The following is a 21394-nucleotide window of genomic DNA, read 5'->3' as shown; positions in this document are numbered from 1 at the left end:
GGGTGCTTATTATTTGTTTTCTCCTCAGAAACATAAGCTCTTTGAGGGCAGGAACAGATTGTGTCCCTTATTCATTGCTGTGTTTCCAGTACTCAAGACCATGGCTGATGTGTGGTATTCACTCGCTTAAAATGTGACCTAATAAAGAAATGTAGAGAAGGCAGAATATTAACGTGTATAATGTAATATAAACCATTTGGCAAATTAAAACAAATGGACTCATTCTTAGCTAAGAAAATATTCACCCAGAGCACGAGAAGATAGGGACAGAAGTCTGCCTCTTATTTTTTTGCTTTCATAGAGATAGATTTGTGTTTGAATCAAACACAGAAAACATTCCAATTTATATCTACAGTGGCAGAAATGGTATCTGCCTCTTGAAGGTTCTATTGAGGATTATATGTCAAAGCTGTATGTTACACTTGAGTTTCTTGGTCTCACACAGAAGGATAAGAGGTAGGAAATATGTGTGATTTGCTCTGTCTTAGAAAAATCTGAGCGAACTACTTAGCCTGACTTATTGCACATTGGTTTCACTCATCTTCAATGGGAAGATTAATATAAATGTATGATGTGCCGATCTCATTTGCAATGGGTCTCCTTATGTTTATGCCATTAAACAACTTAAGATCTCCTGCTTTTCCATTGTAATATCTGTTTTTATAACAATTACACTTTTAAAATTACTGAAAGCATAATCTTTTAACAAATGTTTGATTTTAAGCTGTTTTTAATTTTAGCAGGCAAAAGTTTTATCTTTTCACAGTAGGATTACTATTTGAAGAAGAAATGCTGAAAAAAAATAATGAAGACAAACTAGAATCTTATCATAATATGATGAGTAAGGTCCAAAATTTTCATTAATCCAACACACTTAGTGTCCTTATTCAAGGTTGACAAAATGAATATGGAAGCCTGACAGCTTATTGGACTGGGTTTACAGGCAATTGGCTGCCAGATACGAATTATCCAAGTTCATGGTACCATTTGGTGACAGTTGCCCTCTCAGGCAAAATTGAAAGGAATGACTCTGGCTTCTGGGACTGGTTGGATCTTCCAGAAAAATGGTGGCAATTTCAAGAATCACTGGATTTGTTCATTTTCAGGGAAACTGAGCAGAAGAATACTGAGCATGTGGGTGCCCACTGTCTGCCTCCACTTCCTGCCTAGTCCTCTTACTCTCCCCTAGAAGAACACAAGCTTTATCAGCAACCACCCACTTTGAGAATGGGGCTGGCCTCAGTCCCATTGCAGGGTACCTAGGCCAGAGGTTTATTTTACTTTGATTAATGCATTGAACAAAAAGGCATTAAAAAGTCATATGCAAATAAATGTTTTTGATGACGGCACATACTGCTTCTGTATCAGACTTTTAACAGCTTATTCTAATCTAGTCACTAATTGTTCCTGCTTTACCAAGCATTCACTGACAGAAATGTTCCTACCACATTTAGAAAAGAAATCAAATCTGCATTATGGAGTTAGCATCATTGTATTTCTCGTTTCATGCCTGGTGGACCCCTTATAGAGCTATATTTAATGTACTGCTAATTAAAAAGAAGGGTGGGGGGAAGTGTCCAAAGCTTTCTCAATGTTGTCTTATCTTTTTTGTTTGTGCAGCTCACCATGTTAAAACGGGAACTTGTGAGGTGGTGGCACTCCACAGATGCTGTAATAAGAACAAGATAGAAGAACGGTCACAAACAGTCAAGTGCTCCTGCTTCCCTGGGCAGGTGGCAGGCACCACGCGAGCTGCTCCATCATGTGTGGATGGTGTGACTTCTTCCATTCCTTATTGTAACAGCACAGCCAAGGATGGCTTAGAACTAGAACCCCACTATAATGCTCTCAATGGGAGGTCAATCCTGGGTGAACATACTACAAATACCATGATAAGTTGAAACTAGAATATTTGGGTGGCATTTTGAAATCTAAAATCCTCTGGAAAGAGGTCTAAAATATTATGCAGTTCTGTTACAAAAGGCATTATAATGAGGTTCCATTAAATTAATGTGCATCTTATTTTGATACCATGAAATGTTGATTTCTCGGTGGATGGTGGGAGGTGGATTATGTGTAAATTAATTGGAAAAGGAAAGATGAAAATGGATGATTTAATATTATGGGTTCTTAAACCCATGGATATTCTTAAGAATTAAAAAAAATAGCACCATGTATATGAGTGAACATTTAGTTGTGGATAGAATTAACATAAAATATCAACTTTTATGATGATGCAATAATATATTAATTTTTTTCCTTGAGGGTTCACCTAATTATAGTAGGACATAAATCTTTATATGCATTTATTTAGTTGATGTTACCATAAATAGTAATTTGTTAAGTGCTCATATTACTATAATATATTGCTTGTGATGAGGTTATAGCACACAGTTAAAAAAATTATGATAACTCTGATAAACACCCTCCTGATAACCATCTTATTCATGGGAATATTATATTGATTATAAAGTGTTGACTCTAAAAACTGGTCATAGGTCCATTTTCTTATATATTTATATAAATTGGTGCATATACACATTTGCATAGTTTATTTTCAATATCTTAGCTTTCATGAAGTCTATTTTCACATGAAAATCCTGTAATATTGTGTCTATAGTTAACTATACTGCATTCTACACTTACAATTTTATTAAGTGGATAGATCTCATGTTAAGTGTTCTCATTACAATAAAATAAAAAATGTTTTAAAGAAAATTATTTTAGTTAGAAAATCTTGAAAGGTTTTGTCCTTTTGAACAAAAAGAAAGGCATACCTCAAATACCTGTATTCCCACTGGTAGGAAAAATTAGTGGCTTTTGTTCCTCTTTAAAGGTGAACAAGAGAAATAAGTCCCAAGAAAAAAATGTTGAGTCAATTTTTTTTCTCTCTTATAGCTTCAATAGTGGAACAGAAATGGTGGTGCCATATGCAGCCATGTCTAGAGGGAGAAGAATGTAAAGTTCTTCCGGATCGGAAAGGATGGAGCTGTTCCTCTGGGAATAAAGTCAAAACAACTAGGGTAAGTGGACAGCAAGCTTGGGAAAACAGAATGTCTCTGAATTAATAGAGAACGGAGCTTGTGCAGTAACCAATTTAAGTGGCAATTGTGGAATGGAAGAGTATAGTTTTGCAAGATATGTTTTCCCCATTTTTTTCTTAGTTCGCTTTTTTCATAAAACATTTTTATTTCACTCAGAACAACATCTTCCATAGAGTACCATCAACTGTCATATTATCTGATCAATAAACACTGTTTGCTCCTTCATAAAATACTGAGGGTAATGTGAACCTCCTTTCCCCACTGAGGATGCATGTTAAATTCTGGGAGGGTGACCCCAATCCTTTATTTTTCTAATGTATAGTAATCTAAATAAATTCTGAAAACATTATTTTATATATTACTTTTAATACAGTTTTTTAACTGAGATTCTTTTAGTTTTATGAAAGTAATTATTTTGATCTCCCTGATATCTGAATCATTAAATAGTTTTCTAGTGGTTAAGATTTACAATTATTGTAATGGGCTACTAGGAAGAGTTTCAGATTCTCAAGATCAATACAAAAAGAATATTCTTAAGACACTGATGTATTTCAGCTTTGTAATTACTGACCTCTCGGTGATGGTAGAGAACTGAAAAATAGCTTTGTTCTTTGATTTCCTAATTTGCCACATGGGTATTCCAGACTGGCAGAATTTGAATTCTTTTCTTTATAGAATTAGCAAAGGAAGGTTTTGTTTTGTTTTGCTTTTAGGAAAAGCATACTATAAATTAGAGTTGAATATTTGAAGAATAGAACAGAGTAATGGTATAAATTGATGTTTTATAAAAAGTAACATAAAAGTAGAGACTGGCTAATTTACAATACTACTTGATATAGCAGACTTTTAAACCTTGTCCAGACATATACAAGAGGCTTATTTTATGATCTCATCTAGATATGTAATTTAGTCTGCCAAGTAATATATTTAATACATTGACTGATCAGACATACACAGAAGTGACTAAGTTTCAAATGGCATGAATAAAAACATATTTCATGAAATTTTTCTTGACTCTAACCTGTTAGCTAAGTGTCACACCTTTTCAAAACCCATTGGATGCATGATCAATTAGTTAGGATAATTATATTATTCAGTGAGCTAGCACATGATATAATCCGTATTAATTTGTTAAAAACATTCTGGCAATGTAAATTTTCCTTATAAGCTATTTATACCATGAAAATATTTTCCCTAGCACTATTAATTCTCAGTCCAAAAACAGGACTTAAGGAAATTCATTAACGTTTTGAGATTCTGAAACAAATTTTTAAAATTGTGAGCTCTTGACAACCAAATTCTTTGTTTTTATTACTTCAGTGAACAAGGGGAAGCTATTATTTATTGTATACTTAAAACATATGCCATACACTGAACAAAATGCTTTACATGAGTTAGCTCACTTAATCTTCCTAATAGCCCAGTGGAGAAGATAGTGTTATTATCTCCTTTTACAGATGAGTAAACCAAAACTTCCAAATGTTATGTAACTTCCCAAGGACATATAGCTAATTAATTAGGAAGCCAGGTTTCAAAACATGTAGTTCCATTCCAAAACCCAATCTTTTAACCTGTACTTTGTACTAATAATTTAACTTATTCTTAAGCAATAATGGTAAAAATATCGTATAGTTCTTTTCTTAAGAGGTCGACCTTTAAAAATATCTCTAACTTTCTGGATCATTGAAATGAAAAGGTCAAGACCATGCAGTCTAAATTCTCATGGAAAAAAAAAAATTTGGAAGTGCTGTTTTACTCCCTTTTGGCCTGTTGACCATATTCTCAATGACCCAAATTTAAAATGGAGTGTCTGCTTCACAAATTCTTCCAAATGTAATGAAACAAGGTGGATGAGAGACTGAGAACTCATGAGTAGGGAAAATCACATCTACATCCTATAATTTGTTTTAGTTATAAGACATTATCCTCTATATAGAGGATAGCACTTTCTATTTTTCTTTAATCTCTTTTGTCCCAAAGAATAGCTGGTAATGGAGGACCTTATTTAAGACATTATAGAGGGTTTTCATACAACAGTAGGTGTTTAGATTTAGTTTCTTTTAAGATACCCTCTATTTCTAAGAGTCTGTCACTCCCATTTTGAAAAGAAAAATCATCATATATAAGAGGAGAGAGAAAGACTTGAAAGAAGGAGCTTCTTGAGTACAACCAAAGTAAATTCTTATCCTTTTATTCTTTCACAAGAAAAATGCTGCTTGTGAAAATGGAGCTACTTAGACATTTTCAACCAAAGGAACACTATGGCATTCCAAATAGAAAGGCAAAAATGTGCAATTTAGTTTGGCCCACCAAACAATTTGGGCAAATTTCCCTGGTGCTACAAATGAAGCAAAAAGTTTTCAAGGTCATCAGGCTATTATTGCTCAGCCATCTCCACTGAAATAGTGAAAAGATTGGAGGCGATAAGAAAAATTCTTAAAATAGCTCTAGGCATGTGTTACTTTGCCCACAGTGGAAGTGTTGGATAGAGGAAATGTTGAATAGAGGCAGATAGAAGAAGTGTTTCCATCATGCATAAATAGCACTACTTTTGAAAACAAATTTGAGTCATTATTTTAATCATTGGTATTACTGTCCATATGTCTGTTTTCAATAATGTGGTTGTGATCACCATGAGCCAAAAAGCCATTGAACTCCTGATTTGGCAGGTCCCAGCCACAATTGGAAAGGCCAGAAGTTATGTAGGAATAGGTTACAAAATAACTCAAGAGCTGTCTCAGCCAAAAGCTATTTGCTTTGCTTATGCAAGATATGTTGGTCTTATGGGATTATCACTGCAAGCAAAATGGCTTGAGAAATAATTAAAATATGCAATAATGTACACTCTCCCTTATAATGGCCCATAGCCAATCTGGAGTGCTTGGGTAAGCCTGTTAAATAAATAGCAGTCAGCCAGAAATAGTAATAAGGCTTGCATGGCCTCAGCAGAGATGAGTGGCACCTTCCCGAATTGACTACAAATCAGGGTCTGAGTGATTTTTCCACTTAAGACTAATTTTGAGCCTATATTGTACTTACTACAAATGTGAATTATACTCTTCTTCTGTTTTTCTATCGGATTCTGGAATTTTTTTGGTTCTGACCCATTTCCTATTGGTGCTAACAGGGGGAAAAGGTAAAGAATAGACAGTCATTTTTGGAACTTGAGTGTTTTGTTGCATACCTGTTCTTCACACACCCAAGCATTTAATTTGGAAAGAGTGGAAGATGCAACAGTTGTTTCCCAAACCCCATTTCTCAGTCTAAAGGTGGAAAATTTATGACTTTCTGTGACATCTATAACCGTCTCTTTTATTACTTTTAAGATCTCCTAAGTTAAACAGAAGGAAAGGAAAAGTCATTCAAGCCTTTTGATTTCAAACTCACTTTCAAAGACAAATAAAGAACTTTTCAAAGGGTCATTAATAAAAGAATCATCTTTCCAGTGTGAAAGAGTGCATAATTATAAGCTAATTATACAACACAAAAGTAACAGGGGGGAAAGATGCTGCAGAGCTTGTAAAATATAAGAAAAGAAAATATTTAACATGGTTGAAATCATCGGAAAAAAACAGACTGTGATTCTGTGTGTGTGTGTGTGTGTGTGGGGTGTTTTGATATTCTTTCTTCGTGGAAGATCTAAAGGAAATAATATTCTGTTTTTAGGATTTATAGTCCTTGCCTAATGGTATGGACACCAAGCTACAAAATACAGTGGTCAGTGCAGTTTTTAATGTTGATTCTTACCTAAGGATCAGGTTAGAGAAACTTGGTCTCTTACCTAACTTCGTATTATATAAGACTTTACATTGTTTTTAGGAAGATTACCTTTATGAATCATATGTCCCAGGTCTATTGACTTTTCATATACTTAAGAAGAAATTTTCTGGCTAATTTTTAACTAATTGAAATCTTTCACTTTATGCATTTATTTAAAGTGGCTTGAGCAGATAAGAGCTCTGTAATTTTTAAATGTTCCTTCAAATATAAGTTGATTTTAAAGGTATGCATTATGATATTATTTTATTGTATAATGCAATGAAAATCAAAATATATTAAGAATTTCCTATGCAGCACATTTTATATTAATAGTACTCATATTAGAATTAAAACAACAAAAGCAAATACAGAAGCATTTACTTAGCTCTTACTGTGATCTGGGCACTCTGCTGAGTACATTGCAGGTATTATCTTATTCAATTTACCCAACCATAGTAGATACTAAAGAGAATGCATGGCTTGATCCAAGCCCACAAGGAGTATGCCATTGAATGGAGGAATGAGTAGTGTACAGTTATGTTATTCTTTTCTTTTTTTCTCCTTTTTTTGAGACAAAGTCTTACTCTGCTGCTCAGGCTGGAGTGCAGTGGCACAGTCTTAGCTCACTGCAACCTCCACCTCTTGAGTTCAAGCGATTCTCATGCCTTAGCCTCCCAAGTAGCTAGGATTACTGGCATGCCCCACCACACCCAGCTATTTTTTTTTTTTTTTATTTTTAGTAACAACGGGGTTTTGCTGTGCTGCCCAGGCTGGTCTCTGACTCCTGGCCTCAAGTGATCCGCCCACCTTGGACTCCCAAAGTGCTGAGATTACAGGTGTGAGCGACCACACCCAACCACATTATTCTTTCCTTTACCCATATGCAGTCTATTGACAACAAACACTGGAATCAGTGGTAAATATAAGTTAAGAGTAATATTGTAACAATAGAATAGCATAAGAATGAGGAAGTTGTGCTAGATTCAATTTCAAATTTCTCTAACCAAGGTTTATTCTTGGGTTCCATGTGACAAGAAGATTTCTAACTTCCTTTCCAGCTACATTTAAATGACAGTAATAACTGAAAATCTCAGAAGATAGATAAGTATTAGGTTTTTAATCCTTTCACTGTAAGGAAGAAAAGAAATAGCATCTTGTGATGCTTTGCTGATTAAAGCCTCAGGTTGTACTCTTCCATTTGGATTTCATACCAAATCTCAGTGACTCTGCTCTGCTGGTGGATCTAAACAGTGTCCAGGGGTGCTAATTCAGACCCATGGGAAATGATGTACACAGCAAGAGGAAAAAAGTTCATTTCCTTACCTTAAGGTGGTGCAATTCGTGTAAATTCTTCAATCATCATGCTCTCTCTAGCCTTGCAAATTTAAGTACAGGTTTAGAATAGTGTGGTTCTTTCTTGATCAGCTCTTTCTTAACAGACACATCCCCATTCATTTGTCTTCATCTCACTTCCAGTCAGGCCCTAAATTACATTCTGGTCCACAGCACAGACTGTAATGACCTTTAGCGTTTTTCTAATTATTTTAATGCAACTCACAGTAAGAAATACATCTTACTTAGTGATCTACTACACACACAACATGCATATGCACACTCATGTATGCTACATTAAAATTAAGGTTGCATTATAATGTTTTGATTTTATTATCTTCCCTCCCTCTCTCCCTCCCTCCCTTCCTCCTTTCCTTCCTTCTGATGATCTCAACCTCATAAATTGCTGTTATCACCTGTTTATGTGTTGCAACCTGTAGATTGAAAAACACTGCTTTAGGAAGTGGTATTTGACTGTTTCCTATGTCCAATTCATAGAACTGATAGCCGCTGCTAACTTGAAGAGAAACAAACTACTGAATGAAGAGCTTTCAAAACAACTTACCTTCCACATTTTAATTTTAAATATTTTTATGCAACATTTTTGGGCTAAAAATTTCTTTTTTTTTTCTTTTTTATTATTATTATACTTTTAAGTTTTAGGGTACATGTGCACAATGTGCAGGTTAGTTACATATGTATACACGTGCCATGCTGGTGTGCTGCACCCACTAACTCGTCATCTAGCATTAGGTATATCTCCCAGTGCTATCCCTCCCCGCTCCCCCCACCCCACAACAGTCCCCAGAGTGTGATATTCCCCTTCCTGTGTCCATGTGATCTCATTGTTCAATTCCCACCTATGAGTGAGAATATGCGGTGTTTGGTTTTTTGTTCTTGCCATAGTTTACTGAGAATGATGATTTCCAGTTTCATCCATGTCCCTACAAAGGACATGAACTCATCATTTTTTATGGCTGCATAGTATTCCATGGTGTATATGTGCCACATTTTCTTAATCCAGTCTATCATTGTTGGACATTTGGGTTGGTTCCAAGTCTTTGCTATCGTGAATAATGCCGCAATAAACATACGTGTGCATGTGTCTTTATAGCAGCATGATTTATAATCCTTTGGGTATATACCCAGTAATGGGATAGCTGGGTCAAATGGTATTTCCAGTTATAGATCCCTGAGGAATCGCCACACTGACTTCCACAATGGTTGAACTAGTTTACAGTCCCACCAACAGTGTAAAAGTGTTCCTATTTCTCCACATCCTCTCCAGCACCTGTTGTTTCCTGACTTTTTAATGATCGCCATTCTAACTGGTGTGAGATGGTATCTCATTGTGGTCTTGATTTGCATTTCTCTGATGGCCAGTGATGAGCACTTTTTCATGTGTTTTTTGGCTGCATAAATGTCTTCTTTTGAGAAGTGTCTGTTCATATCCTTTGCCCACTTTTTGATGGGGTTGTTTGTTTTTTTCTTGTAAATTTGTTTGAGCTCATTGTAGATTCTGGATATTAGCCCTTTGTCAGATGAGTAGGTGGTGAAAATTTTCTCCCATTTTGTAGGTTGCCTGTTCACTCTGATGGTAGTTTCTTTTGCTGTGCAGAAGCTCTTCAAAAGACTTTGTGAAATACAGATTTTGTGAGAAAGAATATGTATGCTGTATTCAAAAAGTCTTTATTGCCTCCTATTGTCAGATTCTATTCTGAATTCTGGTCAGAGCACTGAAAACAAAACAAAACAAAACAAACTGGATGAAAATCCCTGCCTTCATCAGGCCTGTAATCTAATAGGGTATATTCATCTTTTTATTGCTGCCATAGCAAATTACCACAAATTTAATGACTTAATACAATATCCAGTAATTATCTTTAGGTCAGATGTCCAGGCACAGTGTAGCTCAGGTGGGTCTCTGCTCTGGGTTTCACAAGACTGAAATTAAGGGATATGTTTCACCTTTTCACAACAGGGCTTTGTTTCTTTCCAGAGACTTTGGGGAGAATCCACTTCCAAGCTCATTCAGGCTATTGTTAGAATTTGTTTGTTTGCAAATGTAGGACTGAGGTGACTGTTTCTTTGTGTATTAGTTCATTCTCACACTGCTATGAAGAAATACCTGAGACTGGGTAATTTATAAAGGAAGGAGGGTTAATTGACTCACAGTTCCACATTGCTGGGGAGGCCTCAGGAAACTTACAATCATGGCACAAGGCAAAGGAAAAGCAGGTACCTTCTTCACAGGGCGGCAGGATGGAGTGAGTGCAAGCAAGGGAAATGCCAGATGCTTATAAAACCATCAGATCTCATGAGACTCACTCACTATCATGAGAACAGCATGGGGGAAACTAGCCTCATGATCCACTTACCTCTACCTGGCCTCACCCTTGACATGTGGGGATTATAGGGATTACAATTCAAGGTGAGATTTTGGGTGGGGACACAACTAAACCATATTACCAAGGTAGCCATCATCAGGAGGCTCTCTGGCCTTATTCAGGGTGCCTGTCATTCTAATCATATTTCCTCCTTCACCTCAAACCAGCAATGGCATGTTGAGTCTGTCTCATGCTCTGAAGCTCTTTGACTTCCCCTTCCCCCATCTGTTCCCTTTCTTCCTCTTCCACTGCATTTCTCTTGTGGGCTCTTTTGGCTTTCTCTGCCTTTTCGGGGTACAGATGATTACATTGTGTCCTCCTAGATAGTCCAGGGTAATCTCCCTCTCTTAACATCAGCTGATTAGCAACCATAATTACATCTGCAGAATCTCTGTATAGCAGTGCTTAGATTAGTGTTTGTTTGAATAATCAAGGGATGAAAATCTCGGGAGTATATCTTTGGAATTCTGCATACCACATGGGAGGATACAAAAAAATAAACAAAATAAGTAAGTAAATATATAGTATGTTGGATGTTGATAGATGCCATGGGAAGAAAATTAAGCAGGGAAGGGAAGTGGGGAGTGTTGCTGAGCAAGGGAGTTTGCATAGTTGATTGAGGTCTTGGGAGGTGAGGGCATGAGCTACATGGCTAAATGGAGGACAAGCTATCCAGGCAGAGGGAAGAAGTGAAAGTACCTGAGATGAGAGCTTTGCTGGGCAAATCATATTCAAGGGGTAGAAATGATGCTTGTGGCTGGAGTGGAGTGAACTAGGGCAAGTGGTAGAATTAAGGTTAGAAAGGCAACATGAGTAATGTCACAACTGACTTAAACTTTTGTCCTAAACAAATAGAATGAGGGATTTGCCATTATGTGAGATGGAGAGAACTGTGGGAAGAGCAAGTTTTATGTTTTACATTAATAACTACTAAATTTAGGTCGTTTAACTTAATGAAAAACTAAATATGGTATAACACCTTAAATTTGATATTTCTGAAGAAGAGTAGGTAGACTTTTTTCTATAGTAATGAGAGATTCAGAAACTAAGTGATATTTATATTAAATAATATTTAAACTCAAATGATATGGAGATGTGAAACATAACACTTAAGGGAGCATGTAGTCACTATACTAATGTTAAGTTTTAAAGAGATTTGGACAAAATGGATTAATATATTAAGGCAATCTTTTTCTTTAATTAGATATTGAGTTCAAGGTAGACAGGACACTAAGCTAGGTGTCCATGAAGTAGCATTAGTAAAAGTAACATTTTTAGACTAGGTGCAGAGGTTTCCAGCACTCTGGGAAGCTGAGGTGGGAGGTGGGAGGATTGCTTGAGGCCAAGAGTTAAAGACCAACATGGGCAACATAGTGAGACCCAGTCTGTAAAAAACAAAAATTAGGCAGATGTGGTGGCATTCACCTGTACCCCCAGCTACTTGGAAGGCTGAGGCAGGAAAGTTGCTTGATCCTAGGAGGTTGAGGCTGCAGTAAGCCATGATTGTGCCACTGAACTCTAGCCTAGACAACAGAATGAGACTCTGTCTCAAAAGAAAGTAACATTTTAAACCTGATATTTTAAATTTAAGAGCTGATTACTTAATTAAATATAATTTAATAGGGCCAAGAGTGTCTACCTTGGTATTTGTTTAAAGAGTTATTGAAAAATAATGCAAAAAAATATATCATCCGGCTCTATGTCCAAAACTTGGCCTGTATTTTTGTAATTGAAATGAGAAATGGGCGATATATGTGTGCTTTTAAGTTCCTCTAAGATGTAGATGCTTCTGCAATATTTGAGCCAGGTGTTAATCTGTAGATGTTACTCCAAATGTTGTGCTTATAATCTTACAGTTAATTGTGAATGTTCACATATTGTAATAGGACCAGTTTGAGCACCATAGAATTTCATTTACAACTGCAAGGTACATCTTTAGGCGACTGCTTCTGTTCTATGAACTAAGTGGCGAGAGCAATATTTCTGTCTCTTACCTGAGGGCTGATAGATAAAATTCTGTCAGGGCTTTATATCTAATGTTTAAGACCTTGATATTTGTTTAAAGGTAAGCATTCCTGGGAGAGGCAACACTTTTACCTGGTTTTGGTTACTAAAATGGCTTAATAAAAGAAAAATGGCACCTCGTAGGACTTGGGGAATAGAAAGGTATGTTCAAGAAGCCATAGTTAGTGGTGCTTCTGTGCTTTTTTCCTCTACTGTGAGTGGCAAACCTCCTATTAAAAAATATGGATAATCTTTCCTATGTACGTTCTCCCATGGCTCTTTCCCTCCTGTGTCCATCACACGTTTTATGTGAAATTTAACTCTTGTAATCAATGACTTCAGATCCAATTTTATTTTCTTACTCTGGAGAGTGGGGTGAAGATGCAGCTGAGAAATAACACATAATGTTCCCACAAGTTCAGGATTTCTAGCTCCCTGCAAGGCTGTTCAGGACTTGTCACTTCACCTGTGAGTAGTGGAGAGTTGTTTGTGAAGTGCACCTAATATAAAGGGTGGTGTTGAGCTTTACTTTAGAGTGATCAGACCTCATCTGGATGTGGTCAAGAAAGTCCTGGATACCAACTTTTAATGGGGTAGAAGAAAAGAGGCAAATGTAAAGGATTTTGTGGAGATTTACCTCAGGGAATTAAAGCACTAGGAGCAATATGCGTTAAATTATTTGATGATATAGCATGTGAAAGAAAAAAATGTAGATTTGTTCTGTGTGACTACAAGGAATACAACTAAGGCTATAGTAATAACTTTCTCAGTGTCAACTCTAGATGACATTGAATGGGCTGCCTTAAGAAACAGTAATTTCCTCATTTTAGGATGGCATATATTTGTGACTTTTAAGGGATGAACAGAAATTCGCAGAGTTGTCTACATCAAGCTATCAAAACAAAAAACAGCTTATATGAAGGCATGACGGAATAGAAGATCATATCTTACTCATGGAATTGAAACCATTTCATGGGGTAACAATGTGTGTGAGGGGAAGTATGTAATGAGGAATCCCTGTGAGGGGAATCATGGCAGGTTGAGTTTGTATCATGATGGGCTTTTAAATACCATGTTAAAAGATTTGGATTTTTTCTCCATGCAGTGGTGAATCATCGAAGAACCTTAATCAAGCAGGAGAGGAGAAGGGTCTGATTTATACTTCATAATGTCTATTTGGCTGCAATGGGTCAACAGAATTGAAGGAGGTATGAGTTAATGGGCCTGAAGTAAGGTAGGGAGGTGATGGTAGTGTGGGTGCAGAGGGAAGGGAATTGATAGGGCTTGGTAATTAATTGAACATGAAAAGTAAATGAAAGGAAAAATTCAGACTCACATACTTCTTACATATTTCTTGCTTGACTTATTGTTGCAATAGTAATTGCTAATGAGACTATGAGGTAGAGATATCTGGAGGATAATTTGATATATAGCTCTAGAGGTCAAGATAGAAATCTGGAAATTATTATTCCCTAGGTGGTATTGAAATAGTTAATCAAGAATGCTCTCTCAAAAGAAATGCATAGAAAAAGAAGAGCGTCAAAGACATTTTAACAACTAATGTGGAAGAAAGTACCTGTAAGGAACAAAAAGTGTAGACAGAGAAATAGACAGAAAACCAAGAAAGACCAGAGTCTGGGGGAATGCAGAAATAGAGTTCCAGGGATCCAGGGCTTTCAATTGATACAAGGATATGGAACCTACAGACAGGTTATGTGGCTTTATGTCTCTTTCTGAATGTGGGATTTACAAGAAATACTGAGTTCTTGTCCATTAGATGAACATTACTTGTTTTATTATAATCCTAAAACTTGCCTGCTAGTTGGATGATGTCATTGTTAACACATTGTAAACACTGCAGAATATACATCCATTTAAAACAGAATGCACTGTTTAAAGTACTTTAAAAATAAGAATAAATATGGGCTGGGCACAGTGGCTCATGCCTGTAATCCCAGCACTTTGGGAGGCAGAAGCAGACGGATCTCTTGAGGCCAGATGTTCGAGACCAGCCAGGCCAACATGGTGAAACCCAATCTCTACTAAAAATGCAAAAATTAGCCAGGTATGGTGGCACATGCTTGCAGTCCCGGCCTCGGGAGGCTGAGGCATGAGAATTGCTTGAACCCAGGAGGTGGAGGCTACAGTGAGCTGAGATTTCACCATCGCACTCCAACCTGGGTGACAGAGTGAGACTCTGTCTAAAAGAATAAATATGAATCTCCTTAGCAGAATTAACAAACTCTGTTTAAAGGAAGCTTGTCTGTTCATTCATTCATTCACTCTGTGAAGATAAATCGAATGTACTCTATGTGGGTATGTGCCAGACATTGTGCTAGATTTTGGGGATTCAGATTTTTTAAAAATTATGACTCTTTGCTGTCCAAGAGTTCACAAGTTCACAGTCAATTGGATAGAAAGTCAGTAAATCATTGTCATGTACAGAAGTGGCAGGACAGAAGTTTGTGTAAGTGCCACGAAAGCACATTGGCAGTTTAATATTGCATGGCCCATAACTCTTCTAACACTCAATGATACCAGATTGTGATGCCATTCAAGGGCAATTTACCTATAATTTGTCTCCTTAGTATATAGCAACTAAATGCAATCTAACAGAATCTAAATATTATATTCCATGATGTCAAGATTGAACTGAATTTTTTTCTTGCCTTTATATCTGTATAGTACTATCATAATAGAACAAAATTCAATAAAATGCTTTCTCAACTAGACTATCTTCATACACATATATATGTGTGTGTGTGTATGCATGTAAATATATATACACACACATGCAAGAGAGATGGAGACACATACACACACACACACACACTCACACACACACACAGAGCAGAGAGAGAGGAGAGACAGGGGAAGGGAGATAATTTGCATATAAAAAATTGGGGCTACACTAATAACTCTAATTAAATTGAAAATAATTTAAGATTCCCACGAGCGAATAAGAATATTGGAACCTGATACCATTGCACATATTTTTAATGTTTTAAGCTGATAAAACACTTTAAAAATTTTGAAGTAATGTATATTAGTTTTAGCAAAATCAGCCATTCAGTTGAAATGTGATCTAAGATATAAAACTCAAATTGCCAAATTAAAACAAAAAATAATACATATAGCTTATACTAAGCCATAGAATTCTATTTATTATAATGTTTAATATTGAACTTGTTTAACATGAGTTATTTAGCTGTTAAATATATGCTTTGCTCTCATGGTTCAGTATTATGGCATTTTTTTTTTTCCTATTAAGTAGCAATGTTGGCTTCCCATGATTTATGGTAGGATTAGCCTAAAGTCAATAAAGGATTATTTTGTTGAGGTTCTGCTTACCATTGGCTATTTTACCTTTATATTTTATTGCTTATTCTCTTCTGGTGACAAACTTTTTTTTTGCATCTAAAAAATTTGCTTATTTATATAAATTTAAGTGCTACAAGTGAGTTTTTTTACATGAGTATTTCAAATAATGATGAAGTCTGGGCTTTTAGTGTAATCATTTTCTGAATAATGTACATTGTACCTATTAAGCCACTTTTCATCCTTCACTCCCCTCCCACCTTCCCATCCTTCTGAGTCTCCAGTGTCTATTTTTTTATTTGTTTTTAGACTTTTTTTTTTTAGACTTTAAGTTGTGGGATACATGTGCAGAACGTGCAGGTTTGTACATAGGTATACACGTGCCACGGTGGTTTGCTGCACCCATTAACCCATCATCTACATTAGGTATTTCTCCTAATGCTCTCCCACCCCTTGCCTCCCAACTCTGACAGGCTCCGGTGTGTGATATTCCCCCCCACCCCTGTGTCCATGTGTTCTCATTGTTCAACTCCCACTTATGAGTGAGAACATGTGGTGTTTTGGTTTTCTGTTCCTGTGTTTGCTGAGAATGATGGGACAAACATATTTTACACTTACATTGCATTTTCTGTTCTCTTCTTGGTCCTGTTAAAAGAAAACTGGTGAGGGCAGGGAGAAGGATGGTAGAGAGACAGAGAAAGAGAAAGAGAAACTGGGTAATATCAGGCAGTGTAAATTTATTTTCAAAGAATGCTTGCAAATTGAATGCAATCTTTGCTTTGCAACTTTAAAATACTCTATATTTGAAAAGGCTGTTTGAGTAATTGTGAGGAGAGTTGATTTGGTCAGCCTGTTTCTAAGATTCATATACTGAGATGCATTTATTCTATCTTGAAAGAAATCAAATTGAATATTCTCAGACACATTGGCCGACAGTCAGGATAATCTAAACAACTATCATGATTAGAAATCTCAACCCCCAACTTCAATTACAACATATGATTGATTTGTGAGATTACCGAAGGCAAATGTCTGGCCAGACAGTCCAACTATTGTTTGAGATTAAATTTCACAAATGAAATCAACTTGTTGAGAGCACTCTGCCTCCAGATTATAGCTTTGAGGACTTCTTAGATGGGTTTTAAGTGAATTCCCTTATGAATAAGGGAAATTATGATAAAAGCTGTTAATGGTAACTTTAAAATAATTCACGTTGTACCTACGTAATGGTCTAAGGAGATCCTATTCAGTAAAACTGTTTCACATCACTATATGATACTGAAGGTAAAGATAAATATTCATAACATGAAACAAAATTGTTTATATAAGTTGATTAAAAATGTCTACAGATCATAATAGAATTATTTTCTGTAGTACTGTTGATGTCTCACTAAGGGTTTAGCCTTTCTGAGGTTACTGAAATTAGTGACAGATGGAGACATTGTCAAGGTGTATCAGGTAATTTTTGATTCTCCATTTCACCCACCATAACCATTTGAGGTAACTGTGCAATGTTACCTCAACATTGCACAGTTTACAGAGCACTGCTGGTGCCTTCAAGGATGGCATAATGATTAAGAACCCAGTCTCTGGAATCATTACTTGAGTTCATATCCCAACTGCCATGTATTAGCTGGTGGTCTTGGGAAAGTTACTTTACATCAATACTCCTCAGTTTCCACATCTGGGAGATGATGACAATAATATATCTGCCACATAGATTTCTCACATGGATTAAATTAGTTTATATATGTAACACACTTAAAACAGTTTCTGGCCAAGTATAAGGGCTATATGTGCTTGTTAACTAAAACAGATAAGCAAGTTGTTAATAGGCTAATAAAATGGGCCAGTTTTCTCATAACTCAAATATTAACATTATTATTCCACAGCAGTCAGTCTTGTTAAAGAAATACTAATGTGGAAATAACTCAAAACTTCCTCTACTATCTCTATTCATACTTAAACTAGGGCTTTGAAGAGAAAGCACAAATTCATTGGAGGTTGGTCTGTCTCTTTTAGAATAGCCACAAAATTTCATCCTAGAAAGAAACCATAGAACTGTACTAAATGGATTTCAGTGCTTGAGAACAGTCTCCACCTGGCCTCAGACATGGGGCCATTCTAGTTATTTACCATAGGTGGGTCAGGTGGGGACTGTTGGACTACACAATTGTAAAGGTGCTCTACCCAGGATATGCTGCAAGAGCAGAAATGTTTTTTCTTATTTATAGCCATCAGACATTGGGTTTTCAGCAACATCTCTTATGGACTTATCAGGCCTACCAGGTGAAGGAGACAATTCTTCTTTTTCTGACAATCACAATTATTGACATTTATTCAACTAGTATTTCTATGTCCAGTGGTATAATTCAAAGATAGCCTCATATGCATGCACAAATCTTTTACGTTTAAAAATGCTTTGTTAACTGGAGAGGGAGGAGTATTAGCCTGGGTTTATGAGCTAGGTTTGTGTGTGTGTGTGTGTGTGTGTGTGTGTGTGTGTGTGTTTTCATTTTCATTTTAAGTTTTTGTAGTTGTTTGCCTGTTGCAATTTTAGATGAGGTTAGCCTGGAGTGGTTGTTGCAGCAGGAAAGACTTGTTTATTGAATGCTGAGTCACCCTTGCCCATTTTGCTATTACTAATATAACGTTAATGTTCTTACTAAATCACAAAACACCAAGTAGAAACTGATGCAGAAAGTGTTTATAGATATTCAGCAATTAGCAGAGGCCAATAATTCCTATTAATGGAATAACCAATAAAACCTAAGTGATTTTTGGACCTCAGTACATTTTAACCAAAATATGTTACAATATGTAAGTTTTTGCTCTTAGGAGATGTTATGTACGTAGCATACATTCTTTATAATTTGTCTTGACTCTAGTATAATCTCAAAAATAGAGCAAGCTTTGTTCTATGCTTTGTGAAGGATAATGATAGTATTAAAGAGCTAGAAATACATTTGTGCTTACTGCCTTATTTATTAAATAATTAGATTTCATATTTTGTAGCAGGAATAGAATAATGATAATTTTAAGCAAATAAATTTATTTTAAAAATACTTATTTCAAAATATGTTTTGAAAATGTTTAAAAGTTGCTGTTTATTATATTCTTGCTGGAGGCATAATTGCACTTAACCTTCATAGCAGTGTAATAAGATATGGATTGTCTTCATTTATAGGTAAGGAAACTAAGTTTTTTTTTTTAGTGAAATAACAGGGCCACACAATTAATAAATATTTAAGTGAGCATAATCCCAAGACTAGATGATGTTCTTAACCCCATGCTCTTAACCACTATGTTATATGTATTACCCATCTGATTCTCTGAAAATCTATATTCATCATTGTCTTTCTCATCACTATTACTATTAGATAAACATTCAGTATGTGTAGGACACATTCCATTTTAGTCAAATTTTAATTATTCATGGTAAAGAAGTGAAAAAAAGTTAGGAGAAATTGAAAAAGATATGCAATTTTCATGTTTCAATTTTAGGCAAAATCAGAAAATTTTCATTATAATATAATTTTTCTTTAAAATGTAATAGAAAAAAACTTAAAAAATCTCGTTGGTAAACTGAAGAGCACACTAGGTAATATAAAATCCCAATATTGCAGTGTTTTAAAATAGACCTAGATTTTTTTAGATGCCTATTTGACCTCCTTGTTATAACAACTCTTTTATCTCAAAGGTAGTAGTGTGTGCCATCACTTTAATGTGATTCTCAGAGTTCAGGACCCTGGACTACAATACTAACTGACAATATTATAGTCAGTCTTTCACATTACTATCTCTATGTCTCATCTTTATGATGGGAAAGTTGAAGAAATTAGTGCAGTGCTATATCTATATATACCTCTTCAATGCCAAACTTTAACATTTATTAGCAACTTGATGTGATTTAGTGGATTTCAGAAATGTTTTATGCTTCAAGGAATCCTCTTTTTTGCCTATCACAATGGCTGAAATTCTTGCATTAGAGAGTCATTCATTCACAGCCTGAAGACTTTACATCTAGGAGTTATTTGTTAAAAGTAAATTTCCATTATAAGAATAATTACTCTATGTGGGTGATGATATAATTTATTGTCCATAGTAGGACATATTTCCAGGATAAACTCAACAGGAATTCAGGACAACGGGGTAAATCAGAGCTATCCCAAGCAAAATGGAAAATGTAATCATTCCAATTGTAAGTAACAATTAGCTAATGTCTATTTTAAGTATTAGATGAAAGCAAGTTTAGAAAGAAGACAGTCTAAGCATGATTGCAATGCAGAAGTACTATGCAGGCAGAAAAATACCAATAATAAATTTCAATTATTAATTTTATGAATGACTCATCAATACCAAATTCATCAGTAAAGTTGAATCCACATAACTTGACTTTCAGTTTTAGTAATAGATCAGGTGATATCGTTAAGTTTCTCCTCCCCTCATCCCATAAAAGAAAACTGAAGAACTTAACAAAATATAAGATGATATGTTTGGAGGCATTGGAAAGCCAACAAGAAAGTGAAGAGTTACTTGTCCAGAATTTAGGAAGGATGAAGACTAACAGAGATTAGTCGGCTCTTGGAAATCACTTAACCCATGGAGGCAATTATCAACATTAGAGGAGTGGCTCAGTGGATAAAAGTGCATTGACGACCTTGCAGAACCCAGCAGACTCTGCCATAGTAAGCCAGGGATTGCTGAGAAGGGGAGCCCTGGTAAATCTCTCTTATTTCCTATTATAAACCCAAAGTGCTACACCCCAGGAGGAAGAGGGAATTAAAAGTAGAACAGCCCTCACAGGGCTCAGTCTGAATCACTTTAATACCTGAAATTAGATTGAGGTGAGCAGATATGTTTAAGGCATGCTTGGCAAAAGCAAATGTAATTCTTCTCTGGAAAGATTATGGCCCCAGTCTCACAATCACTCCACAAATAATTTTGCAAATATATTCAGCATACAATGAAAAATAACCAGGCAAACATGAAGATAAGGCAATGTAAACAAAAACAAAATAATATACAATAGTGAATTATTAAGCTGCAGAACTGCTGCACTAAGACAAACATTAAAAAATTTGTGAAAGAATGTGTAATTTCCAAGTCAACTAAAAAAAATGGACTAATAAAAACTATACAAAAGAAGGCAAAAGAGGAGGGAAAATAAATCTAGAACAGGTGGAATAAATAGAAGTTACTCAATAATGGTAGCTGCAACTCAGATATATGAGTGATTATATCAAATGATAATGGGGTAAATAATTCAATTAAAAAGCAAATAAATAATGTTTAGAATGATGAATATGCTAATCACCCTGAATTGATCTTTATGTAATGTATATATGCATGGAAACATCACACTGTATCACATAAATATGTACAATTATTATGTGTCAATTATGAATAAAATAAACTTTTTAAGAAAGGCAAATACAAAGATTGCCAATCTGGATCAAAAGATCAAAACACAAGTATATGCTGTTTAACAGAAATACATCCAAACTATAAGAATTAAGAAAAATGGAAAATAAGACAATAATGGGAAAG

The 21394-nt window shown here is 35.5% G+C and overlaps 1 protein-coding gene across 6 annotated transcripts in view; it reads left to right on the top strand.

The window, feature by feature from the left end:
* Positions 1-21394, top strand: part of TAFA2 (TAFA chemokine like family member 2) — a 551762-nt gene that overhangs the window by 503390 nt on the left and 26978 nt on the right. For all 6 annotated transcript variants that reach the window (XM_024448962.2, XM_047428774.1, XM_047428773.1 and 3 more), the window contains 2 exons: positions 1621-1773; positions 2899-3023. In XM_024448962.2, the coding sequence (XP_024304730.1) occupies positions 1621-1773; positions 2899-3023 (278 nt within the window). The remainder of the gene's footprint in view (positions 1-1620; positions 1774-2898; positions 3024-21394) is intronic.

The sequence above is a fragment of the Homo sapiens genome, chromosome 12 (genome assembly GCF_000001405.40).
Source record: "Homo sapiens chromosome 12, GRCh38.p14 Primary Assembly".
NCBI lineage: Eukaryota > Metazoa > Chordata > Mammalia > Primates > Hominidae > Homo > Homo sapiens.
The sequence above is the reverse complement of the archived record's forward strand: the minus strand, read 5'-3'. Positions and strand labels throughout refer to the sequence as shown.